A 23,590-nucleotide genomic window follows, 5' to 3' on the forward strand; every position below is an offset into this window, starting at 1 on the left:
TGAAATATTTCCTATGGAAGCCATCCTCAGACTGCCCTGGGCCCACGGAGCTAAATGCCCAGCCATGCGTGTTGGCTTTTGCATGTTGCTGGAATGTCCTTTGGCACGGTGCCACTGTGGTACCCCAAGTGAACCAAGTGCTGTGCTCACTCCATAACCCAATGGAGCCACCTTTGTTTGACTCTCACCTGCCCTAGGTTGTTTAATGTTAAACGGCTGTCATAAAGTCCATGCATAGGCATCTAGATCAGTGTGCTTATACATTAAGTTTTTGCCAAACATGACCTTTGTACCCAATAGCAGACAGAACTTGTGAGCAAATGATTGAGTTCCCACCTGTCTGTTCCCAGTGACACTGAAACTTGCTCTCCCTTTTGGTGCTGAAATGGAACCATATTACGTTCTTGCAGCACATAGGCACAGTTTCTGGGAAACATTAGTAACTGGTGATGGGGAGGCAAGATGTGTCTACCTGGTAGAAATTCAATGACCCTGAGATTCTGGCTGGACGCAGTGACTCACGCCTGTAATTCCAACACTTTGGGAGGCCAAGGCAGGCAGATCACTTGAACTCAGGAGTTCAAGACCAGCCTAGCCAACATGGTGAAACCCCATCTCTATCTAAAATAACGACAACAACAAAAATTAGCAGGGTGTGGTGGCATGCGCCTGTGGTCCCAGCTACTTGGGAGGATAGCTTGAGCCCAGGAGGTGGAGGTTGCAGTGAGCCAAGATCACACCATTGTACTCCTGGCTGGGTGACAGAGTGAGACCCCCATCTCCAAAACAAAACAAAACAAAACAAGAACAAAGACAATGAGATTCTGATTCTAAAGGGACAGCTTAAAAAAATTGGAGTTTAGGCTGGGCGCAGTGGCTCATGCCTATAATCCCGGCACTTTCGGAGGCCGAGGCAGTTGGATCACTTGAGGTCAGGAGTCCCAGACCAACCTGGCCAACGTGGGGAAGCCATGTTTGCTATGCAGGCAGTCCTTACCTTGCAGGGCTCCAGTATGCACAAATTTCAATTACCACAGTTAAATAACACCCATTCCCCAAAAATATAGTTCCAATTTTAGTTACCATTCTATATTAACCATAATGGCATAAAGCATAAACTCGGGCTGCTGGCTCTTCAGGCCACCAACCATCGTAGAAATAACAGATGCACATCCTATCATGACCAACGGCATCATTTCTTTCAAAGGCTGTTGTGATCGGTCACTGCGCCCTTGTCATTCTTTTTGTGCCCACCTTGCGGAGACATGTGGCTGTGTTGCCTCCTTGTCTCCCAGGGACAAACCCACATGACATTTTACAAAAATGGGTAATTGAAAGAGGGAGTTGGTGAACAAAGGTAAAAGTGCAGTAAAGAAATGCAAAGTGATAGTGTTCAACGTAAAATTTGAATTGAATGCAAGACTGTGGGAAGTTGATAACTGCCCCTGCTGATGTGAACCAGCGGTCCTTAGTGAAGGTGAACTTATGCACATACATCAAGAGGTTGTGACAAAAAGGTTGAAAATGTCCCAGAGAAAGCGACACTGTCAAAAAACAGCATTGAAGGAATACTGGGAGATATTTTACAACATTGAAAGAACAAAAGCTAAAACATTAGCAGTCGATCCAAACTTAGAAAGGAATGTGACAATTCTTCAAAACAGAGAAACTATATTTTCTCTGTATCATAAGTTACATGACTAGAAGGCAAACTATTTAACCTACTCTCGATCGTTTTTTTACAAAGAAATGACACTTTAATTTTTCATGTTTCTAACATTTTAAACTACAGTAGAAGTAAATATTAGTTGTAATTTTGTTATTTTCTTGTACGTGTATAATGACATGAGTTTTCTCATTGATTTTAAAATTACTATTTTTAATTAATAATTGAAAAATTGTATATACCTGTGGAGTACAGTGTGACATTTTGATCTATGTATATGTTATGGAATGAGTAAATCAAGCTAGTTTCCCATCAGTTATTAAGATCTCTTCGCATGGTCTCAGCTTACACAAAGTGAGACCTGCCTATATTTGTAGATTATAAAAGATTTAACTGAGTTCTGAAAGCTTTGACTATTTGTTCTTCCCTGTTACAAGCCAGTGTTTCTCATATATTTCAAACCCATGACTGGTCTATTGGTATCTCACCAGGTTGGGTAGATTATGCCCCCTCTTCAACTCCGGCGCCTGGCAACGCAGATCCTGTGCTCATCATCTTTGGCTGCTTTTGTGGATTTATTTTGATTGGGTTGATTTTATACATCTCCTTGGCCATCAGAAAAAGAGTCCAGGAGACAAAGTTTGGGTAAGTCTCCCAGCTAAAAATGTTTGCCCACTGGTATTGACAAGGTTGTTATACCAAGTGATTATGCCTTTCCTGTTGGGCCAGCTGCTTACATTGCTCCCAGATGGCTGCCCTGCCTTATGCATACCCTGGGCTCAGGCAGCTTCCTGACTTACGCCATGGTCTACAGAAGCAGCTGCCAGCAAAAGCCAGGCCTGAAAAGGGTTCCTTTACAGAGAAGAGTATCAGTAGGCCTTTGCTACTCAAACTGGATTGCTGTTAAGTGAGGACTTTTATTAGAAGCCTTAAAAATAGGCCGAGTGCGGTGGCTCACACCTGTAATCCCAGCACTTTGGGAGGCCAAGGCAGGCGGATCACTTGAGGTCAGGAGTTTGAGACCAGCCTGGCCACCATGGCAAAATGTCATCTCTACAGAAAATACAAAAATTAGCTGGGCATGATGGCACACGCCTGTAATCCCAGCTACTTTAGAGGCTGAGGCACAGGAATTGCTTGAACCCAGGAGGGTTGTTGGCAGGTTGGAGTGGGACAGAATGAGTGAGGGGTGTATGGCTATACTTTGGAGGGGGCTGAGCCTCCCTCTTTCATTGCTCCACCTTCAGAATGCTACTAGAACATCCCACTCGCTCCAAGACTTGCCATAGGCGTGGGAAGGGCTTAAGATTGGCAGCCAGGCTACGCTTTATTTGTGTTCATCCCAGTCTTAGGGGTCAGTTACTTTAGTCTTTATAAGCCTATTCTTACAATTGTTATACCTTAGTATGTGAATTCTAAGAATGACTATTTTAAAGAAGTGGACAAAATCTGATCTAAATCTTGAACATATAATTGACTAAAATACATCCCAGGATCTTGGTGTGACATGTGGGTTCATCATAAAACAAGTACAGAGAACCTCTGCAGAAGCTGCAAGAGTAGCTCATTAATATGTATTAAAGGCCTGCTAGGCACTGGGCACTGCGGTAGCCTGGAATACAGTGGTGAACAAAATCCTGCCCTCATGGGGTTCACAGTTCATGGGGAGTCAGGCAGTAGTCAAGCAGTCACAAAATAGATTAAAAATGGCAACTGTAATACATTCTATATAAAGGGGTAAGAATGTGTCAGAAAAATTTGGCTGCATTAAGAAAGTCAGGGAAGGCCTTTGTGCAGAAGTGGCTGACACCAGAGCTAAGATCTGAAGAAAGAGCAGGTATTCATTAGATGAGAGAGAAGAAGAGCATTACAGCCAGAAGGAGCAGCACATGCCACATTACCAAAAAGTGGGGCTGCTGAGTACAGCAAATATATTAACAAGATTACAATACTATTTCAAATATTTAGAAATAAAACTATTTCCAGGAACCATTAAACTCAGCAGAAGCTTAAAACAAATGAAAGACTTGTAACAGGTTATTGTTATCTATGTCGAAGTCAGTTCCCATGGATCCTTACTACAAGATCTATTCATTTGTTCCTTTTGTAAAACCACTTTCCAGCTCATTTTTAAATGAAAATACTTTTATTTTTACTTATAAAAGTAACATTATATTTTTTTAAAAATCAGATTATATCGAATAGTCAAAAGGAGAAAGTGAGGCCCATTTCAGGCCCATAGATGGTGTTGGTTGCTATTTTGGCATACGTCTTTCCAAGTGCTTTGCTTTGTGTACATCAGTATTTTTTTCAAAATTGTGTTATCTCTTTAAAATAATCTATGTACCTAAGGTAACTTGAGATTAAATCTGTAATCTAGACTTTCAAATTCATAATACTTTCCCACCAATTAGTCTAAAACAGTGACTAAATGGATTATTAAAATAGACTTCATTTTTTATTTTTAAAATTAATTTATTTTTTTGAGACAGGATCTTGCTCTGTCGTCCAGGCTGGAGTGCAGTGGTGCATTCATGGCTCACTGCAGCCTTGTCCTCCAGAACCCAAGTGATCCTCCCATCTCAGCCTCCCGATTAGCTGGGACCACAGTCACATACCACCATGTCTGGCTAATTTTCTTACTTTTTATAGAGATGAGGCATCTCACTTTGTTTCCCTCGCTGGTCTTGAACTCCTGGGCTCAAGTGATCCTCCTGCCTCAGCTTCCCAAAGTGCTGGGATTACAGGCATGAATCCCAGCCTTATTTTTTAGAACAGTTTTAATTTTACAGAAACATTGAGAAGATAGTACAGAGATTTCTCATATGCTCCATACCTAGTTTCCCCTATTATTAACAGCTTACATTATTAGTGTCACACGTGTCCATGTGAAGAGACCACCAACAGGTTTTGTGTGAGCAGTAAAGCTTTTTAATCACCCGGGTGCAGGTGGGCTGAGTCCGAAAAAGGAGTCAGCAAAGGATGGTGGAATTATCATTAGTTCTTACAGGTTTGGTATAGGCAGTGGAGTTATCCAATATCCAATATCCACTGGAGGACCAATTTTTTGTAAGCAGGGGGTGGATCTTGCAAAGTACATTCTCAAGGGCCCGGGAGAATATTACAAAGTACCTTCTCAAGGGTAGGGAGGGTGTATCATACAAAGTACATTCGCAAGGGTGGGGGAATACCACAAAGTACATTATCCCAAGGGCAGGGAGGGTGTATTGTCACAAAGTCAATTGATCAGTTAGGGTGGGGCAGGAACAAATCACAATGGTGGAATGTCATCAGGTAAGGCAGGAACTGGCTATTTTCACTTCTTTTGTGGATCTTCGGTTGCTTCAGGCCATCTGGGTGTATACGTGCAGGTCACAGGGGATATGATGGCTTAGCTTGGGCTCAGGGTCCTGACAATTAGTACAATACATTTGTTACAGTTAATGAGCCAATATTGATCCATTGTCATTAACTAACATCTCTACTTTCTTGAGATTTCCTTAATTTTCACCTAATGTCCCTTTAGTGTTCTGGGATCCCTTCCAGGATGCCACATTTTACAGTCAGTCATCACATCTCCTTAGGCTCCTCTTGGCTGTGGCCATTTCTTAGACCTTCCTTGTCTTTGATGATCTTGCCAGTTTTCAGAAGTGTTAGTCGGGTGTTTTGTAGGATGCCCCTCTATTGCAATGTGTTCGATGTTTTGCTGATAATGAGCAGGGGTTATGGGTGATTGAGAGGAGGAGCACAGAATTAAAATGCCATTGTCATCACTTCTTATCAAGGGTGCATATTAACATGATGTATCACTGTTGATGTTGACATTGATCACCTGGCTGAAGTAGTATTTGCTGGGTTTCTCTACCATGAAGTTATTTTTTCTCCCTTTCCCTACTGTTCTTTGGAAGCAAGTCACTATGCATAGCCCATATTGACAGCATGAGGGTTTAACTCCCTCCACCCCTTACTAGCTACATAAAATATTTGGAATTCTTCACCACAGGAGATTGGTGTCTTTTCTTCCATTCATTCATTCAATCATATTTTCATAAGTATAGACTTATGGATATTCATTTTATACTCATAGTCTAGTATTACTTTAGTTTCTTGCTCAGACTGTTACAGCTTTGGCCACTGGGAGCTTATCTGTTATTCTCTGTTCTTGGCGGTACCTGGCTAGAGTAGTTTCAATATTGCCAAGTAAGTCTAAAATAAATCAAAGGAAAGAAACACGTTTCTTCTAGGGGGAAAGCTTTTGTTGTAGAAGAGCCCATTGAAAAGCGGAAGCTCTGTAGCATCCTTGTGGAATCAGTGCCTGCCCCAGTAGCCCTGTTTTTATAGTGAAGTATCTTTGTTTTCATTCACCCAGGAATGCATTCACAGAGGAGGATTCTGAATTAGTGGTGAATTATATAGCAAAGAAATCCTTCTGTCGGCGAGCCATTGAACTTACCTGTAAGTTGACTTTCATTTCCCTTTTTGGCAAAAGTTAAAATAGTTGAGAACAAAGAAGGATCAATAGACAGATTTCTAACAAAAGCCAAAGATGTCGAAGAAGAATGGATATTTTTAATGTACAAAATGTCTTTAAAAGCAGCAAGTAGATAGCCAGACATTGCCATGCACAGCTCTGTGGGCTAATTTACTGCAATCAGGAGCTTGACCTGGGGTTAAAAGGACTCACAATGTCATGAAATGTGGCAGAAAAGAGGAACCTTCTAGGGTGACAGAAGATGGGTAGAGGCCAGGGATTTAAAGAAAACTTCTAACTAGTGAACATAATCTCAAGCCTCATTTCCTGTTTTCCTGGCAACCAACTCCGAGGATGATTTGCCAACATGCTTTATAGTAATTATGGTTTGAGCTTTGCTGAATCAGAGAGTGGGGGCTTCTGGTTTAAACAGCGGAAATAAACAGACACTAGTGTTCCTGAATAATTTCAGAAAAAGTATAGAAAGGACATGCAAATATTAACAAATTCATGCTTCTGGATGTTTGCCCCCAATAAAGAAAATAGATAAGAATGACAGAATACAGGTTGCTATGAAATAGAAACTTGCTTGGTGTAGAATATTATTAATTTCTTTACCTTTCTAGTCTGTAAGTTTTGACTTTTAGATATCCTCAATTTTTTTTTTAATTTAAAATTTTAAAATTTGTCATTTAGACCACTTTCTTTCCTTTATTGGAGAACCACTGGATAAAGCTTTTTCTCTGAGAACTAATGTGTCCTAATTATCCACATTTTTTTGATCTTTCAAGAGCTTGTTCATGCCTTAACTGTGGTCCAGACTGAATCATTTGCCAAGAGTTGTTGAACTGGTCCCCTTCTGGTTAATTTCTCTTGTTGCCAACATGACTCATCTATTATATACCTTACTATATTATATATTTTATTATAGAAAAATCTTTTTCTCCAATTCCTCAAAGTGCTCAATTTAGCCCTTGCTATGCTGTTATAATAGGTTTCATATACAGTATGTAAAATAAGAGCTTATTCTCTAGATGTTTCCTGTGGTTTGTGAGACTCCGTCCATGGCATGGGAGGGTAGGGGACGTGTGGTTCTTTTGTATACTGTAGTCAAGGGTATAATATTAATAGTAAAGAATTCACCAGAAATTACCTATTGACTTATCTTCCTTACCCCTTTAAGTCAAAGGCAAACCACCCCTACATGAATCTGATTACCGGCTGCTGCTACCACACAACAGAATGAGAAATGTGGTTCTGATTTTTGTAATTCTTCAGAATTAACCTTGCCCTGAAGGATTCATTATACTTAGTTTAATCATTCTAAAGTATGAAATTTTATTACTGGCATTTTTGGGAGAGAAATAATAGATACAAAATGAAAAAAGGGGCCGGCTATGGTGGTTCACACCTGTAATCCCAGCACTTTGGGAGGCCGAGGTGGGTAGATCACTTGAGGTCAGGAGTTCGAGACCAGCCTGGCCCAGATGATAAAACCCGTCTCTACTGAAAATACATAAATTAGCTGGGTGTGGTGGTGCATGCCTGCAGTCCCAGCTACTTGGGAGGCTGAGGCACAAGAATCGCTTGAACCCAGGAGGCAGAGGTTGCAGTGAGCCAAGGTTGCACCATTGCACTCCAGCCTGGGCAACAGAGCTAGACTCTGGCTCAATAAATAAATAAATAAATAAGGAATGTTTTATTATACAGGACTTTATTTCATTTTAATTATCAAGTGAAAGAAAACACGCTGACAATTTTTGTACATACTATGTTACTCCTTTTTCAGTACATAGCTTGGGAGTCAGTGAGGAACTACAAAATAAACTAGAAGATGTTGTGATTGACAGGAATCTTCTAATTCTTGGAAAAATTCTGGGTGAAGGTAAGCAATTTAAAGTAATTCTTTTAAAATGTGGGATAAGAAGGTAGCAGTTTAGAATAATTCTTTAACATATATTTATTAAATAAAATAGCATCTCAGGACTCTGAGTTATACTATGGATAGTTATATTTTATTATTTAAAATGATAGACTATTGATTTTTGAAACTCAGATCTGGCACATGAAAAGATTCTCTTCAATGCCTAGCACATACAGGTCCTTGAAAAATATTAATTTTCTTTCTTCATTGAAAAGCATGTAATTCATTGAGTAGTTTCCTATGTACTTTAAGTTTATTCCTCTAGTTCTTAAGTTCATTGTTCTTGGCACCTTTCTAATTAGGAACAAAAATGAAAATACGTATTTAACTTGTTAAGTTGTTCTTAGGATGAATGATAATGGTATTAAAAGTTTGTGCTTTAAAAACTTCAATAATATTTTTCATGTTCTCTTCTAAGTGTCTTGGATTGGTTATAATGCTTAATAAAGTGATGAGCAAAGGTAGGCCCAAGCCACCCAAGCTCGTGACAAGCAGGAGACTAGAGCGTGGCGCATCACCCTGGTTTGCGATGTGGGTGGCCTGGGCAGGCTCTGCCTGGCTGCCCGTGGGTGAGTTGCTCTCATACCACATGAAACCAGCAGCTCTGGCACTGTAGCATTTCTGTGGTCAGGGAAGAGTTTGCACAGTGTCCATACAGGTGTTCTTTCACTTCACAGGAGAGTTTGGGTCTGTAATGGAAGGAAATCTTAAGCAGGAAGATGGGACCTCTCTGAAAGTGGCAGTGAAGACCATGAAGTGTGAGTTATCAGTGATGAATCCCATTCTTCTAGGGTGGGCAGTTGCTTCAGTATTGGGTGCTCCATGAGGCCATATGTCACAATCTCAGTTCCCAGTGGGCCAGAAGGCAATGTGGAACACTGGTCACCAAGGGGGACTTACTTTAATGAGCTCTTCATGCATGCATTACATATTCTTTATACTCAAGGCAATAACATTTTTTATTTTTACTAACTCCTGCATGCCTATGCATACATACTGTCTGTCTTGCTCTCTCTCCTTCTCTCACTGTCTCTCTTTCTCTCACTCTCATCTAGTAGAGCTAACAACTCCAAAGTAGAGCATCAATTGCTGAGGCAGGGGTGATCTAATAGCAACATCTGACCCCAGGGGTTGTTCTGGCCGGCCTGTCTAGTGTGGTGGGGCCACTTCCTCATTTGAGGATGATTGCATGGCCCTGAGGAAGCTGCGGGCTGCCTGGCAAGTAAGTTCCCCAGAAAGAGGAGAAATATTTGGTCAAGGCATATGAAGAGTTGCTATCATAAGCTAGAACTTCCAAGCAAGCTGGGAAGAGAGCCAGCAGTGAGACAGGGAGAGTCTTGTAAGTCACAGCCAAGAACCTGCTTTATCCTGCAAGGAGTAGAGCGCTATTAAGAGGCTTAACCAGCCGGGCACGGTGGCTCACGCCTGGAATCCCAGCACTTTGGGAGGCTGAGGCGGGCAGATCACAAGGTCAGGAGTTTGAGACCAGCCTGACCAACTTGGTGAAACCCCGTCTCCACTAAAAATACAAAAATTAGCCGGGCGTGGTGACACACACCTGTAATCCCAGGTGACTGAGGCAGGAGAATCACTTGAACTCGGGAGGCGGAAGTTGCATTGAGCCGAGATCACACCACTGCATTCCAGCCTGGGTGACAGAGTGAGACTCCGTCTCAAAAAAAAAAAGAGTCTTAGCCAAATGAAGAATAGAGCAGGTTAAATTCCAGAAAGTTCACTTTGATGTCAGTGTGGAGGAGAACAAATTACAGTGTTGACAAAAATAGTGGTAGATGCCAGTTAGGACACTGTAAAATCTATGCAGTCTAGGCCCTCTCAAATACTTTCTTTTTTTTTTAATTGAGATGGAGTCTCACTGTGTCACACAGGCTGGCGTGCAGTGGCGCCATCTTGGCTCACTGCAGCCTGCACCTCCTGGGTTCAGGTGATTCTCCCGCCTCAGTCTCCTGAGTAGCTGGGATTACAGGCACCCACCAACACGCCTGGCTAAATTTTTGAATTTTTAGTAGAGAAGATGGGGTTTCTCCATGTTGGCCAGGCTGGTTTCGAACTCCTAACCTCAAGTGATCCACCTGCCTTGGCCTCCCAAAGTTCTGGGATTACAGGCATGAGCCACTTCACCCAGCTTAAAATCTATATAGTTAAGGAAACTATAGTGACTTGCTGACTTGTCTAATTGAAATAGCTAGAAAGGGGGCAGGTTGTGCTGGGCTTCTTCATTACCATAAGATGACCAGATTTCACTGGCAGAGCAAGGCAGCATTTCCTCTCCATGTCCTTCTTCCAGGAAGTGCATTTCTGGAGCTGGGGCCACACAGCTGTATAAGTTTGATTCTATAGGTGTCTGGCTGGGCATGGCCTATCACTGGGGAACTTAGAAAATAGGTCGTGGTCACGTGGCATTTCACCCAGTCTTCATCATGAATCATGGATGGAGATTATTTGGTGCTCAGTTTGTCAATATTCTTGATGTTGCTTCCTTATTAACCCCTTGTACCTATTCAATACTATTTTTGATCAGGGAATAAAGTAAAATTGGATTCTTCCTAAAATTTAAATCCACTATTTACTGGACATTAAAGCATAAGTTAGATTGTAAGCATGTACTGAGACTCTTAAATGAAAAGGCTGAAGTTTATTTATTTTTTTCTTTTTGAGACAGAGTATTGCTCTGTCGCCCAGGCTGGAGTGCAGTGGCATGAACTCGGCTCACTGCAACCTCTGCCTCTGGGTTCGAGCAATTCTTCTGCCTCAGCCTCCTGAGTAGCTGGGATTACAGGCATGCACCACCATGCCTGGCTAATTTTTGTATTTTTTTCTAGAGATGGGGTTTCACCATGTTGGCCAGGCTGGTCTTGAACTCTTGGCCTCAAGTAATCCGCCCACCTTGGCCTCCCAAAGTGCTGGGATTACAGCCGTGAGCTACCACGCCTGGCCTGGAGGCTGAAGCTTAATTCAGCTATAAAAAGGAACCACAATAACCAACAAGTCACATGAACCGGTACTTTTTAAGTAGACCATAATGACTAATATTTATGTAATACTCACTGTTAGCCAAAGGACATTGCAGTTATTCCTGTATTTCATCAGGACAACAGGAAGAGAAAATGAACATAACTAAAAAGGAGGTTCAGGAACTAGCCCCCAGAAACTAAAACACCCTGAAGTTAGAATACTCACTGGAGCTGAACCAAGCACTGAGCCATATTCTGCACTGTTCCTGCCTCTTGTATGATTTTATCTGAGCCTCACAGTGCATCTGTGGGGAGTCCTTCCATAATTCCTATTAGGGATATAAGGCAGGTATATTAGGAGGCCTGGTGGGAGGAGCTGGGCCTGGAACCCACTTTTTCTCTGGCTTGACTCTGCAGTTATTTAATTTCATTAGGGTAAATTGCATAGGGATTACACCCCTGCTAATTGTCAAAGATTGAGAGTATAATCTCTAGCTTCAAAATCCCCAGGCTCAGCTACATTTACCTGCAGGTTGGACCCCTGGGGAATAGTCTGCAGGCAGAGCCCTACCCCTGTATTCCCCCACCTGGTTGTTTGCAGCAAAAGGAATAGGTGAGGGCAAATTTTTGCAGATGTATAGATTTTCTTTTAATTAGAAAAATTTTTAAATTTTTCTAAATTTCCTTCAGTAGAAAGAAGATTAATATATATTAAGCCAATAGGATGGTATAGACACTGCATTAGATGCCCTCATGCATGATTTTAATCAGTAGTTTTACCCTGTTAACGCAAATTCCCTAAGGCAAGCCAGACTTTTTATTTGTTTTTAATTGTGGCAACATATACATAATATAAAATTTACCATTTTAACCATTTTAAGTGTACAATTCAGTGGTATTAAGAACCATATTCATAATGTTATACAACCATCACTACCATCCATCTCCAAAACTTTTCTTTTCTTTTTTTCTTTGAGACGGAGTCTCGCTCTGTTGCCCAGGCTGGAGTGCGGTAGCACGATCTCAGCTCACTGCAAACTCCGCCTCCCGGATTCAGGCCATTCTCTTGCCTCAGCCTCACAAGTAGCTGGAACTACAGGCGCCCGCCACCACGCCCGCCTAATTTTTTGTATTTTTAGTAGAGACAGGATTTCACCTTGTTAGCCAGGATGGTCTCGATCTCCTGACCTCGTGATCCACCCACCTCAGCCTCCCAAAGTGCTGGGATTACAGGCGTGAGCCACTGCGCCCAGCCCCAAGACTTTTCATCTTGCAAAACTGAACCTCTACACCTACCGAACAATGACTCCCCACTACCCTTTCTCCCCAGCCCTGGCAAGCACTATTCTATTTTCTGTCTCTGATTTTGACTCTCTAGGTACTTCATGTAAGTGGAATCATAGAGTATTCATCCTTTTGTGACAGGCTTGTTTCACTTAGCATAATACAGAATTTTAAATGTCTCTCTCTTAAGCCAGTTTAATTCAAAAAATTTGGTATGAAAATGCATCCAACTCACAAGGCGTGGTTGAGCAACCAGACTTGCAGGACATACAACAATAGAAACAGAGAGGTGTGGGGTTCTTTCTTTTTTTAAAAAAAGCAAATATAATTGCAACAGATCAGTTAGAATTGTTCTTTGTTTTGGTGTTGGGGTTTTTTTTTTGGAATTTTTTTTCTTTACCATTAGACTTTAACTTTGTAGAGCAGTTTCAGGTTTGCAGAAAAATTGGGCAGAAAGTACAGAGAATGCCCATAGGTCCCCTCCTGACACACATAATTTCTCCTATTATTAATGTCTTTTATTAGTGAGCTGCATTTTTTGCAATTGATGAACCCATACTGATACATTATTATTAACCAGAGTCCATATTTTACATTAGGGTTCACTCTTGGTGTTATACAGCTCTGTGGGTTTTGACAAATGTGTAGTGTCATGCATCCATCATTATAGTATCATACAGAATTATTTCTTGGCCCCAAAAGTCCCCTGTGCTTTGCCTGTTTGCCCCTCTCTTATCTCCCCTAGCCCTACTAGCCCCTGACAACCACTCATCTGTTTCCTGTCTCTATACTTTCATCTCTTCCTGACCTGGGTTTTAGAGAACAGAACTGCTGTTGCCCACCCACTCCCCTTAATTGAGTAAATTATCCATACTTAACCTTTTCTATTTTCTCCTCTAGTGGACAACTCTTCACAGCGGGAGATCGAGGAGTTTCTCAGTGAGGCAGCGTGCATGAAAGACTTCAGCCACCCAAATGTCATTCGACTTCTAGGTACTTCCGAGAAATGCAGGAGTGGGTGGCCAAGAGGGCTCTGCTGATCTGCTCTGTGCCAAAGGAAAAAATCTCTGGTGTAGATAAGTTTACACTTCGTATAACCCCAACATAACTTATAACATTGAGGTTTTCACCCAGACTTTTCTTCATAATGATGTTTTCTGAGGCTAATAGTAATAATGAGTTTGCATTTTCTGGACGCTGATAGGCTCAGGAATGATTTGAGTTTTCCACAGAATTCTAGGAGAGTGTGAATTAAATTGTCCTCAGTTACTCAAAGGCAAGACACAGAGGTGGTTGTGTTATAATTTTTATTAATTTAAGGTTATGCATGAGTTAGATAGCAGTGGGATAAAGGTGAAAAAGTAGGCAAATTCCGTAGGTTTATCTTTGAGAAATAATTTATTAACCTGTTTGAAAGTACTGATTTCTTAAGATCATGATACATTGATGATTTCATGGAATATGATTTAACAGTTCCATAGAACATGATTTAACGTAATTTGGCTTTGCAGCTCCATTAGCCAAAAATTACAAAAGAGGAGATTAAGTATGGAGTGGATGCTGTGTAAGTGGCTCTGTCCCAAGAGAGAAGAGTAACCTGGAAATAATTGAATTTTCTGCTGACCTTGGTGTTTTGTTTTTGCTTTGCCATCCTGTGACTGCATACATGCTAAGTTCTTTTGGGATCTTTCAAAGTTTCATATGATTGGCACTGCAGAGAGATGTGAAAATCAATGTTTGTATACAGTATTATGTCAAATAAGCTACTGTTATTCATTCACTGCTATTGGCTTCAGCCGACTATGAGAACAATTGCACTTTGTGATCACACCACAGAGTGCAGGAGCTTTGCAAGCATGGGATCAGGTGATAGCCTCTGGCTCTCAGATTCCATGATAAATGATATTATAGCTTCTCTTTTGCAAAACTGTTAAAATTTAGGGATGTGAATTTTACCTATAGCCCTTCAAAGTTATTGTAATAGTTTAAGCATTTGCAGTGGACTTCTTCACGTGATTAAATATCTATCACATGAAACTAGTTCGCCCTAGTTCAATACTAGTTCAGTATTGACTTTGAGGGTTGTAGCGTTAAGGAATCATAGCCACTGGGGACATTGTGTCTTTCATTTCCTAGGCCTCCTTATCTGAAACAAAAATCTTATGGGGTCACTACCCCTCAGACTCAGTGGAACAGAAATTCCTAGGTTTCTAGATGGCTATACTTGTTACAGTTTAATTTGTGACAGCCCTCATGCCCTCATTAATCTGAAAGGGGGAAAAATACCAGTAGTGGACCCTGTGTGTGTTCCATTTTCTAGAACAGAGTGTGAGTTAGGCGCTCTTGATTTTTTCAAACTGTTAACTTGGTAACACACGGCTTCAGTTTTTCCAGTGGTCCACGAGGGCTTTTCTGGTCACAGTAACAAGGACTCTTTGTAATTGATGCTGTGTTTGTAATTTCAGGTGTGTGTATAGAAATGAGCTCTCAAGGCATCCCAAAGCCCATGGTAATTTTACCCTTCATGAAATACGGGGACCTGCATACTTACTTACTTTATTCCCGATTGGAGACAGGACCAAAGGTAATGATCTCCTTGTGTTACCCCTGAACACTTCTCAGGGCTTATGTGACTTAGCCAGGACAACCAAATCATCTAATCTTGAAAGTGAAGCCAGGAAGGAGAGGACGTTGACTTTTGTTCAGTGCTCCCTGTGTGTCCAGGGTTGAAATGTGGGGTCTATCCTCACAGCAGGCCTGCTCCAGGTATTATTATCCTGCTTTATGGTGGGTAAGTGGCTGCGTGCACAGTCTTATGGACAAAGCCTTACCAACTTGAGTTGGGTGGCCCAGGCTCCTGGTTCTGCACTTCACAACCCTCATGGCCGCATACTCCCCAGAGCTTGCAGACTATGGGAAGGCCATTGAAGGTGGCTCTCCTAAAAGAAATTTTACAGAGCTCATTCTGGATTTCAACCTTTGAAGAAGTGTTGGTGACCAAGAAGACTGCACAACTGACATTCTGAAAACTGTTTGTAACATTTTACTCCCTATGTTGACTTACCCACCATGAGCACTGTGAAGCCCTGGGAATGTTGGATGTAGCTGTAGAGGCAGTTACGGATCATCTAGGAAATTTAGGACCATGGAGACGCTTGCCTTTCTTCAGGGTCAATTTTCAGTATTGACTTTGAGGGCTGTAGCGTTAAGGAATCATAGCCACTGGGGACATTGTATCTTTCATTTCCTAGGCCTCCTTATCTGAAACAAAAACAGTATCCTCCTGTTATGTTTTGTGGACAAACGGTAGACTGCGAGCAGGCGGTGTGTGTCCTGACTACATGCCCAGCTAAGCAGGACGCCCCTTCCTGCCTTGCACGCATCTTCTCTGTTGCAAAAGGCAGCGATCCTGCGGGGTTCTGGTTGGGACACATGTGGGAACAGGGTGTGGCTGGCCTCTGTCAACAGTCATTCTCTGACTGGGCAAAAGGCAAAAGTCACTCCAGATCATCACTGCCCTTAATCACAGCTGTAAGAAACCACAGGTCCTGGGAAGGAACCGAACCACCCAGTCTACACCTTGGCATTCTCGGACACACCCCACCTTTGTCCCTTTAGCTGCCATCAGTATGAGGACCGCTGAGTGCAGTGGTGCAATTAGGAACAACTGCTTCCTTCACTGCATCAGCGATGGCTCCAGGAAAGAATTCTTGCTGCTCTTGCTTGATGGTCTGATGAGTCCACAGGATGAAAGTGCAAGGAAATTAGTTCTTAGGGACCATGAAAACTCACTCCCACTGGCTCTGCAGACAAAACACAGGGGAAAATGTCCCATGCAGCACCAGTGTGGTGGAGTTCTGCACACTCCCCTGTATCTACAAACCTGGGGTGACAGTGGCCTAGGGTCAGCCAGGTCGCTTTTCCAAGTGAAGCAGTGCCATGGGACTCACTCACAAACTATTAACCAAAGGAAGTTTATTAAGTTCTGCCCAGGTGCGGTGGCTCATGCCTGTAATCCCAGCACATTGGGAGGCTGAGGCGGGGGAATCACTTGAGGTCAGTTCGAGACCAGCCTGACCAACATGGTGAAACCCCATCTCTCATGAAAAAATACAAAAATTAGCCAGGTGTGGTGGCAGGCACCAGTAATCCCAGCTACTTGGGAGGCTGAAGCAGGAGAATCATTTGAACTAGGAAGGCTGAGGTTGCAGTGAGCCAAGATCACGCCACTGCAATCCAGCCTGGGCGACAGAGTGAGACTCCATCTGAAAAAAATAAAAAAAACAAGGTTTATTAAGTTCATTAGTTCACTCTGTGAACAAGTGCTGACTCTAAGGTGGGCACTGAGCTCTGGGGACACTGGAGGGAACATGACAGATGTGGTTCCTGCCCCATGGAGCTGAGCTGCTGGTGGTGAGTGAGAGGAGAACAGGAGACAGACAATTGGTTATTCACAGTGAGGGAGCTATGGGCACCAGGAGCACAGGGGCTCAAATGCCCAGTGGGCCAGGCAGAGCCCAGTGGGGGCATAGGGGCAGGAAGTGTGCAAGGTAACTAGACTGGGGGGTGTGGTGTCTGCGCACAGATGCAGAACCTCATGGTGGCAGGGCCAGGACTTCTTCGTTTCAGTAACCTGGAGAATGTTGGCAGATAGATCAGAGGTGGTGATTGGAATATGAAGCCCCATATGCTGTGGGGTCTGCTGTTTAGAAGGAGGGATTGTGCAGAGAAATGTGCATTCCCTTCCCCCCGCCCCCCACATCAGTCACTGAGCATCCTCATGTCAGGGAAGCCACACACAGAAATGTGCATTCACTTCCCCCCCACCCCCACACCCAGTCATTGAGCATCTTCATGTCAGGGAAGCCACATTCCTTCTAAAAGATGTTTGGGCCCCATGTGCTGTCAGAGAAGCTTCTTGTTTTTGGAGTCCCCTCTTCTTGGCTTGTTCATTATAACATCTCTGGATGCAGGGTGCCTTTCAGTTCCCCGGTGGAGGCTGCATGGAGTTGCTTTCTAGTTGTTCACTGAGGGTGAACATGCTCCCTCCATTCATCTTCTCTTTGTCATGAGCGTATCCATCCTCAGGATCAGAAGATGTGTTGGGAATTGGTAGGCCAGCTTGCTTGCCTCAGCAGTGCCCCTAAGAGGGGCAGCAACCCCTGCCCTGAATCCTTCCAGCATGGAGAAACTAGAGAGAAGCGGAACCTCAGACTGAAGTGCCCCGACCTCCGGTAACTTATGAACTTAATAACCACAAGTCACAGGTGACTGATAGAGTTACAGTGAACCATGATGACAAGAATGACAACTGAGGGCCTTCATGGGGGAAGTCGGCTTAGAAAAACACTAGTCCTCATCCCAAGAGACAGGTCCATCTGTAGAAACAGCCCTTTATTTAAAATTTGGGAAAGCTGAAACAAATAGGCAAAAATGTGAGACCCAATTTAGGGTCAGCACATGCTGGAGCCTCCTTTTCCACTTCCAGCTGACGTTGTTGGTATCTTACGCCTGTGTGTGATGGAGGGGAGGGTACTTTTGCTTTGCTTTTTTTCCCCCTTTTACTCTTTCTCTTCTTCCTAGGGACAGCTTAAGTGATCAGGACAGGAGAGTGGCCCCCTTTCTTTTTTCCAGTTCCCCCCTGGCCCCATGCCCACATGTACTCCTGTTCTCTTCCATGAGAATGCACTTGTCTTTCACCAACATGAGTACTAACCGTAGAGACAGGAGGCTGCAGCTGCATCACACAGCTGTTATAAAATCACCGAGACTCTTCCAAAGAGGTGAGGGGCCTAGTCCTACACAGAAAATATAATAGACAGGGCTGAGTATTTTCCTTCTCTTTTTCCCCCAAAAAGAAAGATGATTGCATTATAGGAAGTCTGTAAAAGGATAAAAAATTACCCACAATTCCCAACACCTTAGTACAATTGTTGGCGATTTCAGACATTCATCTCTCATTGTTCACTCAATGCCTACATTTCTCATGGCCTTCACGTCACTACATACACACTTGCCCCTGGGATGACAGTGGCTAACCTTTCTCAAGCATGTAGCATAGGCCAGCCTGTATTTTGTATGTATTAATGCACCAGTGGCACAACAGCCCTAAAAAGTAGTTACTAGTGGAATCTAAGCTGAGGAAACTGAGGCACAGGGGGCCATGGTGAAAGCAGGATTGGCCCCCAGGCTGCAGACTGTGAGCCTTCAATGCTCTTCTGACTGCCCCATTCTGTGTGCACCCCTCTCCAGCAGGGCAGCCCCCACACAGATCCCTGTGAGTGGCGGCACCACATCATTTCAGTGGGTTTTGTTTCATGTTGATGGGTGATTTTACTCACATTTAATTTATGGTACGTTGTATAATTTGGGAGGGGGGTGGTGGCGGGGGGATGGAATTTCACTCTTGTTGTCCAGGCTGGAGTGCCATGGCTCAATCTCGGCTCACCACAGCCTCCGCCTCCCGGGTTCAAGTGATTCTCCTGCCTCAGCTTCCTGAGTAGCTGGGATTACAGGCATGCGCTATCATGCCTGGCTTATTTTTTTTTTTTTTTTTTGAGACAGAGTCTCGCTCTGTCGCCCAGGCTGGAGTGCAGTGGCGTGATCTCAGCTCACTGCAAGCTCCACCTCCTGGGTTCACGCCATTCTCCTGCCTCAGCCTCCCGAGTACCTGGGATTAAAGGTGCCCGCCACCACACCCAGCTAATTTTTTGTATTTTTAGTAGAGACGGGGTTTCACTGTTTTAGCCAGGATGGTCTCGATCTCCTGACCTTGTGATCTGCCCACTTCGGCCTCCCAAAGTGCTGGGATTACAGGCATGAGCCACCGTGCCCGGCCATGCCTGGCTAATTTTGTATTTTTAGTAGAGACAGGGTTTCTCCATGTTGGTCAGGCTGGTCTCAAACTCCCGACCTCAAGTGATCAGCCGCCTCGGCCTCCCGAAGTGCTGGGATGACAGGCGTGAGCCACCGTGCCTAGCTGTTACGTTGTATAATTTTTCTAATAATTTCTTGGGGGTGTGGAAATTTCATGTTATTGTACAAGAGTGCATTTTGTAGCAAAAAAGATTAAAAATACACAGGGCTATTTGGTGGCCCAAATAGTTTTGTCTATTCAAGAATGTTACATAAATGGAGTCATACATTTATAACCTTTTTTTTTTTTCTTTTTGAGACAGAGTCTCACTCTGTCACCCAGGCTGGAGTGCAGGGGCACAATCTTGGCTCACTGCCACCTATGCCTCCCGGGTTCTAGCAATTCTCCTGCCTTAGCCTCCTGAGTAGCTGGGACTACAGGCGCCTGCCACCACGCCTGGCTAATTTTTTTTGTATTTGTACTAGAGACGGGGTTTCACCATGTTGGTCAGGCTGGTCTCAAACTTCTGACCTTAAATGATCCACCCGCTTTGGCCTCCCAAAATGCTGGGATTACAGGTGTGAGCCACTGCACCCGGCCATTTTATAACCTTTTGAGACTGGCTTCCTTCACTCAGCATTATGTCTTTGAGATCCAACCAAGCTGTGTATATCAATAGTTCATTCCTTCTTTATTGCTGTGTAGTATTCCATTGTATGCTTCTACCACAGTTTATCTTTTCACCTGTTTAGGGACATATGGGTTGTTTCTAGGTTTTAGCAATCATGAATGAGACTGCTATAAAATTCATGTACAGATTTGTGGATGAAGTCTTCATTTTTCTAAAGTAAATGCCCAAGAGTAGGATGCTGGGTCATATGGTAAGTGCATATTTAACCTTATAAGAACTGTTTTCCAGAGAGGCCATTCCATTTTACATTCTCACCAGCAGTGTGTGAGAAATGCAGTGCTCCCCATTCTTATTAGGACTTAATATTGTTGCTGGCTTTTCTGGTTTTTCCTTATAGCTGTCCTGATTGATGTAGAGTGATATCTCATCATGGTTTTTATTTGCATTTCCCGAATGACTAATGATGTTGAGCATCTTGCCATGTGCTTATTTGCCATCCTTACATCCGCTTTGATGAGTGTCTGTTGTTCAAGTATTTTGTTTATTTTTTAATTGAGTTGTTGATTTTCTCGTCATATTTTGAGAGTTCTTTATATGTTCTAAATATAGTTCTTTTGTTGGATATGTGGTTTCCAGAGACTGTTTTCCAAGTTTGTAGCTTGTCATTGCATTCTCTTAACACGGGCAAAAATATTTTAATTTTGATAAAGCCCAATTTATCAGTTTTTTTTTAATGAGTCATGCTTTTGCTCTCATGTCTAAGAACTCTTTGCCTAACCCCTAGTAAAAAGATTTTCTCCTATTTCTTTTCTAAAGATTATGTTCTTTTACATTTTACATTTAAGTATATGACCAATTCTGAGTTATTTTTTGTATAGGGTTTGAGATTTAGTTTAAGGTTTGCTTTTTTTGCGTATAGATGACCAATAGCAAAAGACTATCTTAATCCATGAAAAGACTGTCCTTAATCCATTGAGTTGCTCTTGTACCTTTGTCTAAAAGCAGTTGGTTGTACATTTCTGAGTCCTCTGTTCTGTTTCATTAAACTCTGTGCCCATCCTTTGCCCCTATCACATTGTCTTGATTACTGAAGCTTGTTATAAATCTTAAAATCACCCAGTGTGATTCTTCCTACTTTGTTCTACTTTTTCAGAATTGTTTTAACTATTCTGGTTTCATTGCCCTTCCACTGAAACTTTAGAATCAGCTTATCTGTGTCTGGCAAAAGTTCTGCTGTAATCTTATATCCTTTTGAACAAAATAACAAGTAAGGGAAACAAGTACACAACATTTTACTGACTGATGAATAGTTTCCATTTGCAAAAAAATACAAGTGTATTTTCAATGATGGAAAATAACTTTCAAGTATTAAAAAGATAAAAAGGAATGTAGTTTCCTATTTTGTTGCTTAGTAGCCACAGATAAGGTGGAAGACACAAAGTGCATAGACAAACAGAAAAATCAAGCTTTTATTCAGATCTTTTCTTTGCTGCCTGGAATAAATAGCTCCTGCTCCTGCTAGAGCAGCCCAAGACTATTATCAGTGCATTTGATACTGCGATGGCCCAATATCAATGTATTTAAACATGCTTCTCCAGGAGGGCTAGGGTGCTGGACCCATAGTGCCACTCTGCCCAGGGCAGACATTGTCTCTGGAGCTGTGCAGGGCAGACAGGTAGATGATGAGACATGACCCCCAGTTCTCATGGAGATCGATAGTACAAAGGGAGATAGGCTGTAATAACATATGCATCACACAGTGATGTGAGCAGCCTGCTAGAGCTTCAGGGAAGAAATGAGTTCTGACTGGAGAAATGTTTAAAATATTCTACACTGCTGACTGGGTGTGGTGGCTCACGCCTGTAATCCCAGCAGTTTGGGAGGCCAAGGCGGGTGGATCACCTGAGGTCAGGATGTGTCCGGAGTTGGTTCCTTCTGGTGGGTTCTTGGTCTCGCTGACTTCAAGAATGAAGCCGCGGACCTTTGCAGTGAGTGTTACAGCTCTTAAAGATGGCATGGACCCAAAGAGTGAGCAGCAGCAAGATTTATTGTGAAGAGTGAAAGAACAAAGCTTCTACAGTGTGGAAGGGGACTCAAGCGGGTTGCCACTGCTGGCTGGGGGTGGCCAGCTTTTATTCCCTTATTTGTCCCCACCCACATCCTGCTGATTAGTCCATTTTACAGAGTGCTGATTGGTCCATTTTACAGAGTGCTGATTGGTGCATTTACAACCCTCTAGCTAGACACAGAGTGCTGATTGGTGCATTTACAGTCCTTTGGCTAGACACAGAGCACCAATTGATGCGTTTTTACAGAGTGCTGAATGGTGCATTTACAATCCTTTAGCTAGACACGGAGCACTGATTGGTGCATTTACAATCCTCTAGCTAGACAGAAAAGTTCTCTAAGTCCCCACTCAACCCAGAAAGTCCAGCTGGCTTCACCTTTCAAGGAGTTTGAGACTGGCCTGGCCAACATGGAGAAACCCCATCTCTACTAAAAACATAAAAATTACCCGGGCGTGGTGGTGCATGCCTGTAATACCAGCTACTTGGGAGGCTGAGGCAGGAGAATCGCTTGAACCTGGGAGGGAGAGTTTGCAGTGAGCTCAGATCGCGCCACTGCACCACTCCAGTCTGGGTGACAGAGCACGACTTCGTCTCAAAAAAAAAAAAATTCCACACTGCCATCATGGATATCCTCAAAAGAGTGGTAGGAGGAGTACAGTGGAAAATTAAGAGCAGCACACAAGATCAGAATGAGCAAAGACCAAATGATCTGGGAGCATACCTATGTTTTAAGAAAAGCAGATTGTCTCACATGGCAACAGCAAAGCAATGGAAGGATAGGAGGAGGGGTGATAAAACAGGAAAGAGAAGTTGGGGTCAATGTTTAGGTTCTACAACAAGTAGAATGACTTCACCAGCATGTAATACAAAACCCAACTCAAAATGACTTTCAACGGAGATACAGGATCTCATGCAATAAAGCCCAGAAGTAGCACAGTTCCAGAGTTGGCTAGGTGGGTGCTTGAGGAATTAATTGAGAAATTAAAGGGCTACAATTGCATTTGTAGCCCAAGCTATTAAAACAGCTCCTACACAAGAAGAAGGAGGAGGAGAAGAAAGAATTTTCTTAATTTCATTTTCAGATTATTCATCACTAGTATATAAAAATACAGTTGATTTTTGTATGTCCATCTTGTATCCTACAACCTTGCTGAACTCATTTATTAATTCTGCTATACAATTATTTTTTAAGTGACTTTTGGTCACAGTCTCCAGGAATAACAGAAGTGTTCTAGGAAAAAACAGCACAAATGAATAGTACCTGATACTCATTACATCTTCATGAATGACAGCAAGATGCAATATTTCTTATGACCCAAATCCTTTCCTGGAAATCAGTATCTAGAAAACCAAATACCCAAATAATACAGAATAGAGGCATAAAACTTCCATACTTAAAGATTAAGACATTTCATTTATTTATACAGTATGTAATTGACATGTGTCTTGGAGTATAAAATCATTGAAAATGCAATGTCTTTCCAAAATGAGTACCATTTTGGAAAACTCATGTTTGGAAAGGAAGCCATGGCAAATTCAGTGCCTTGGGGAGGGTACATAATGGATGGACCCATTCATGACTGCCAGGGACTTGTGCAAATCCTTTTCTGCAGGGCCATGATTGCACTAAAACACTTAATTACTACATGGAAGTTTTATCAGCAGTCATCCTCATAACTGATTCCAACAGTGGCTGGTTTTCTAACACAGCAATCTA

At 42.6% G+C, this 23,590-nt stretch overlaps 1 protein-coding gene across 1 annotated transcript in view; it reads left to right on the forward strand.

The window, feature by feature from the left end:
- MERTK (MER proto-oncogene, tyrosine kinase) overlaps window positions 1-23,590 on the forward strand; it is a 130,955-nt gene that overhangs the window by 96,559 nt on the left and 10,806 nt on the right. The window contains exons 10-15 of the mRNA NM_006343.3: window positions 2,158-2,311; window positions 6,036-6,121; window positions 7,927-8,022; window positions 8,739-8,819; window positions 13,218-13,310; window positions 14,783-14,901. Coding sequence (NP_006334.2) covers window positions 2,158-2,311; window positions 6,036-6,121; window positions 7,927-8,022; window positions 8,739-8,819; window positions 13,218-13,310; window positions 14,783-14,901 — 629 coding nt within the window. The remainder of the gene's footprint in view (window positions 1-2,157; window positions 2,312-6,035; window positions 6,122-7,926; window positions 8,023-8,738; window positions 8,820-13,217; window positions 13,311-14,782; window positions 14,902-23,590) is intronic.

This window comes from Homo sapiens, chromosome 2, assembly GCF_000001405.40.
Source record: "Homo sapiens chromosome 2, GRCh38.p14 Primary Assembly".
NCBI lineage: Eukaryota > Metazoa > Chordata > Mammalia > Primates > Hominidae > Homo > Homo sapiens.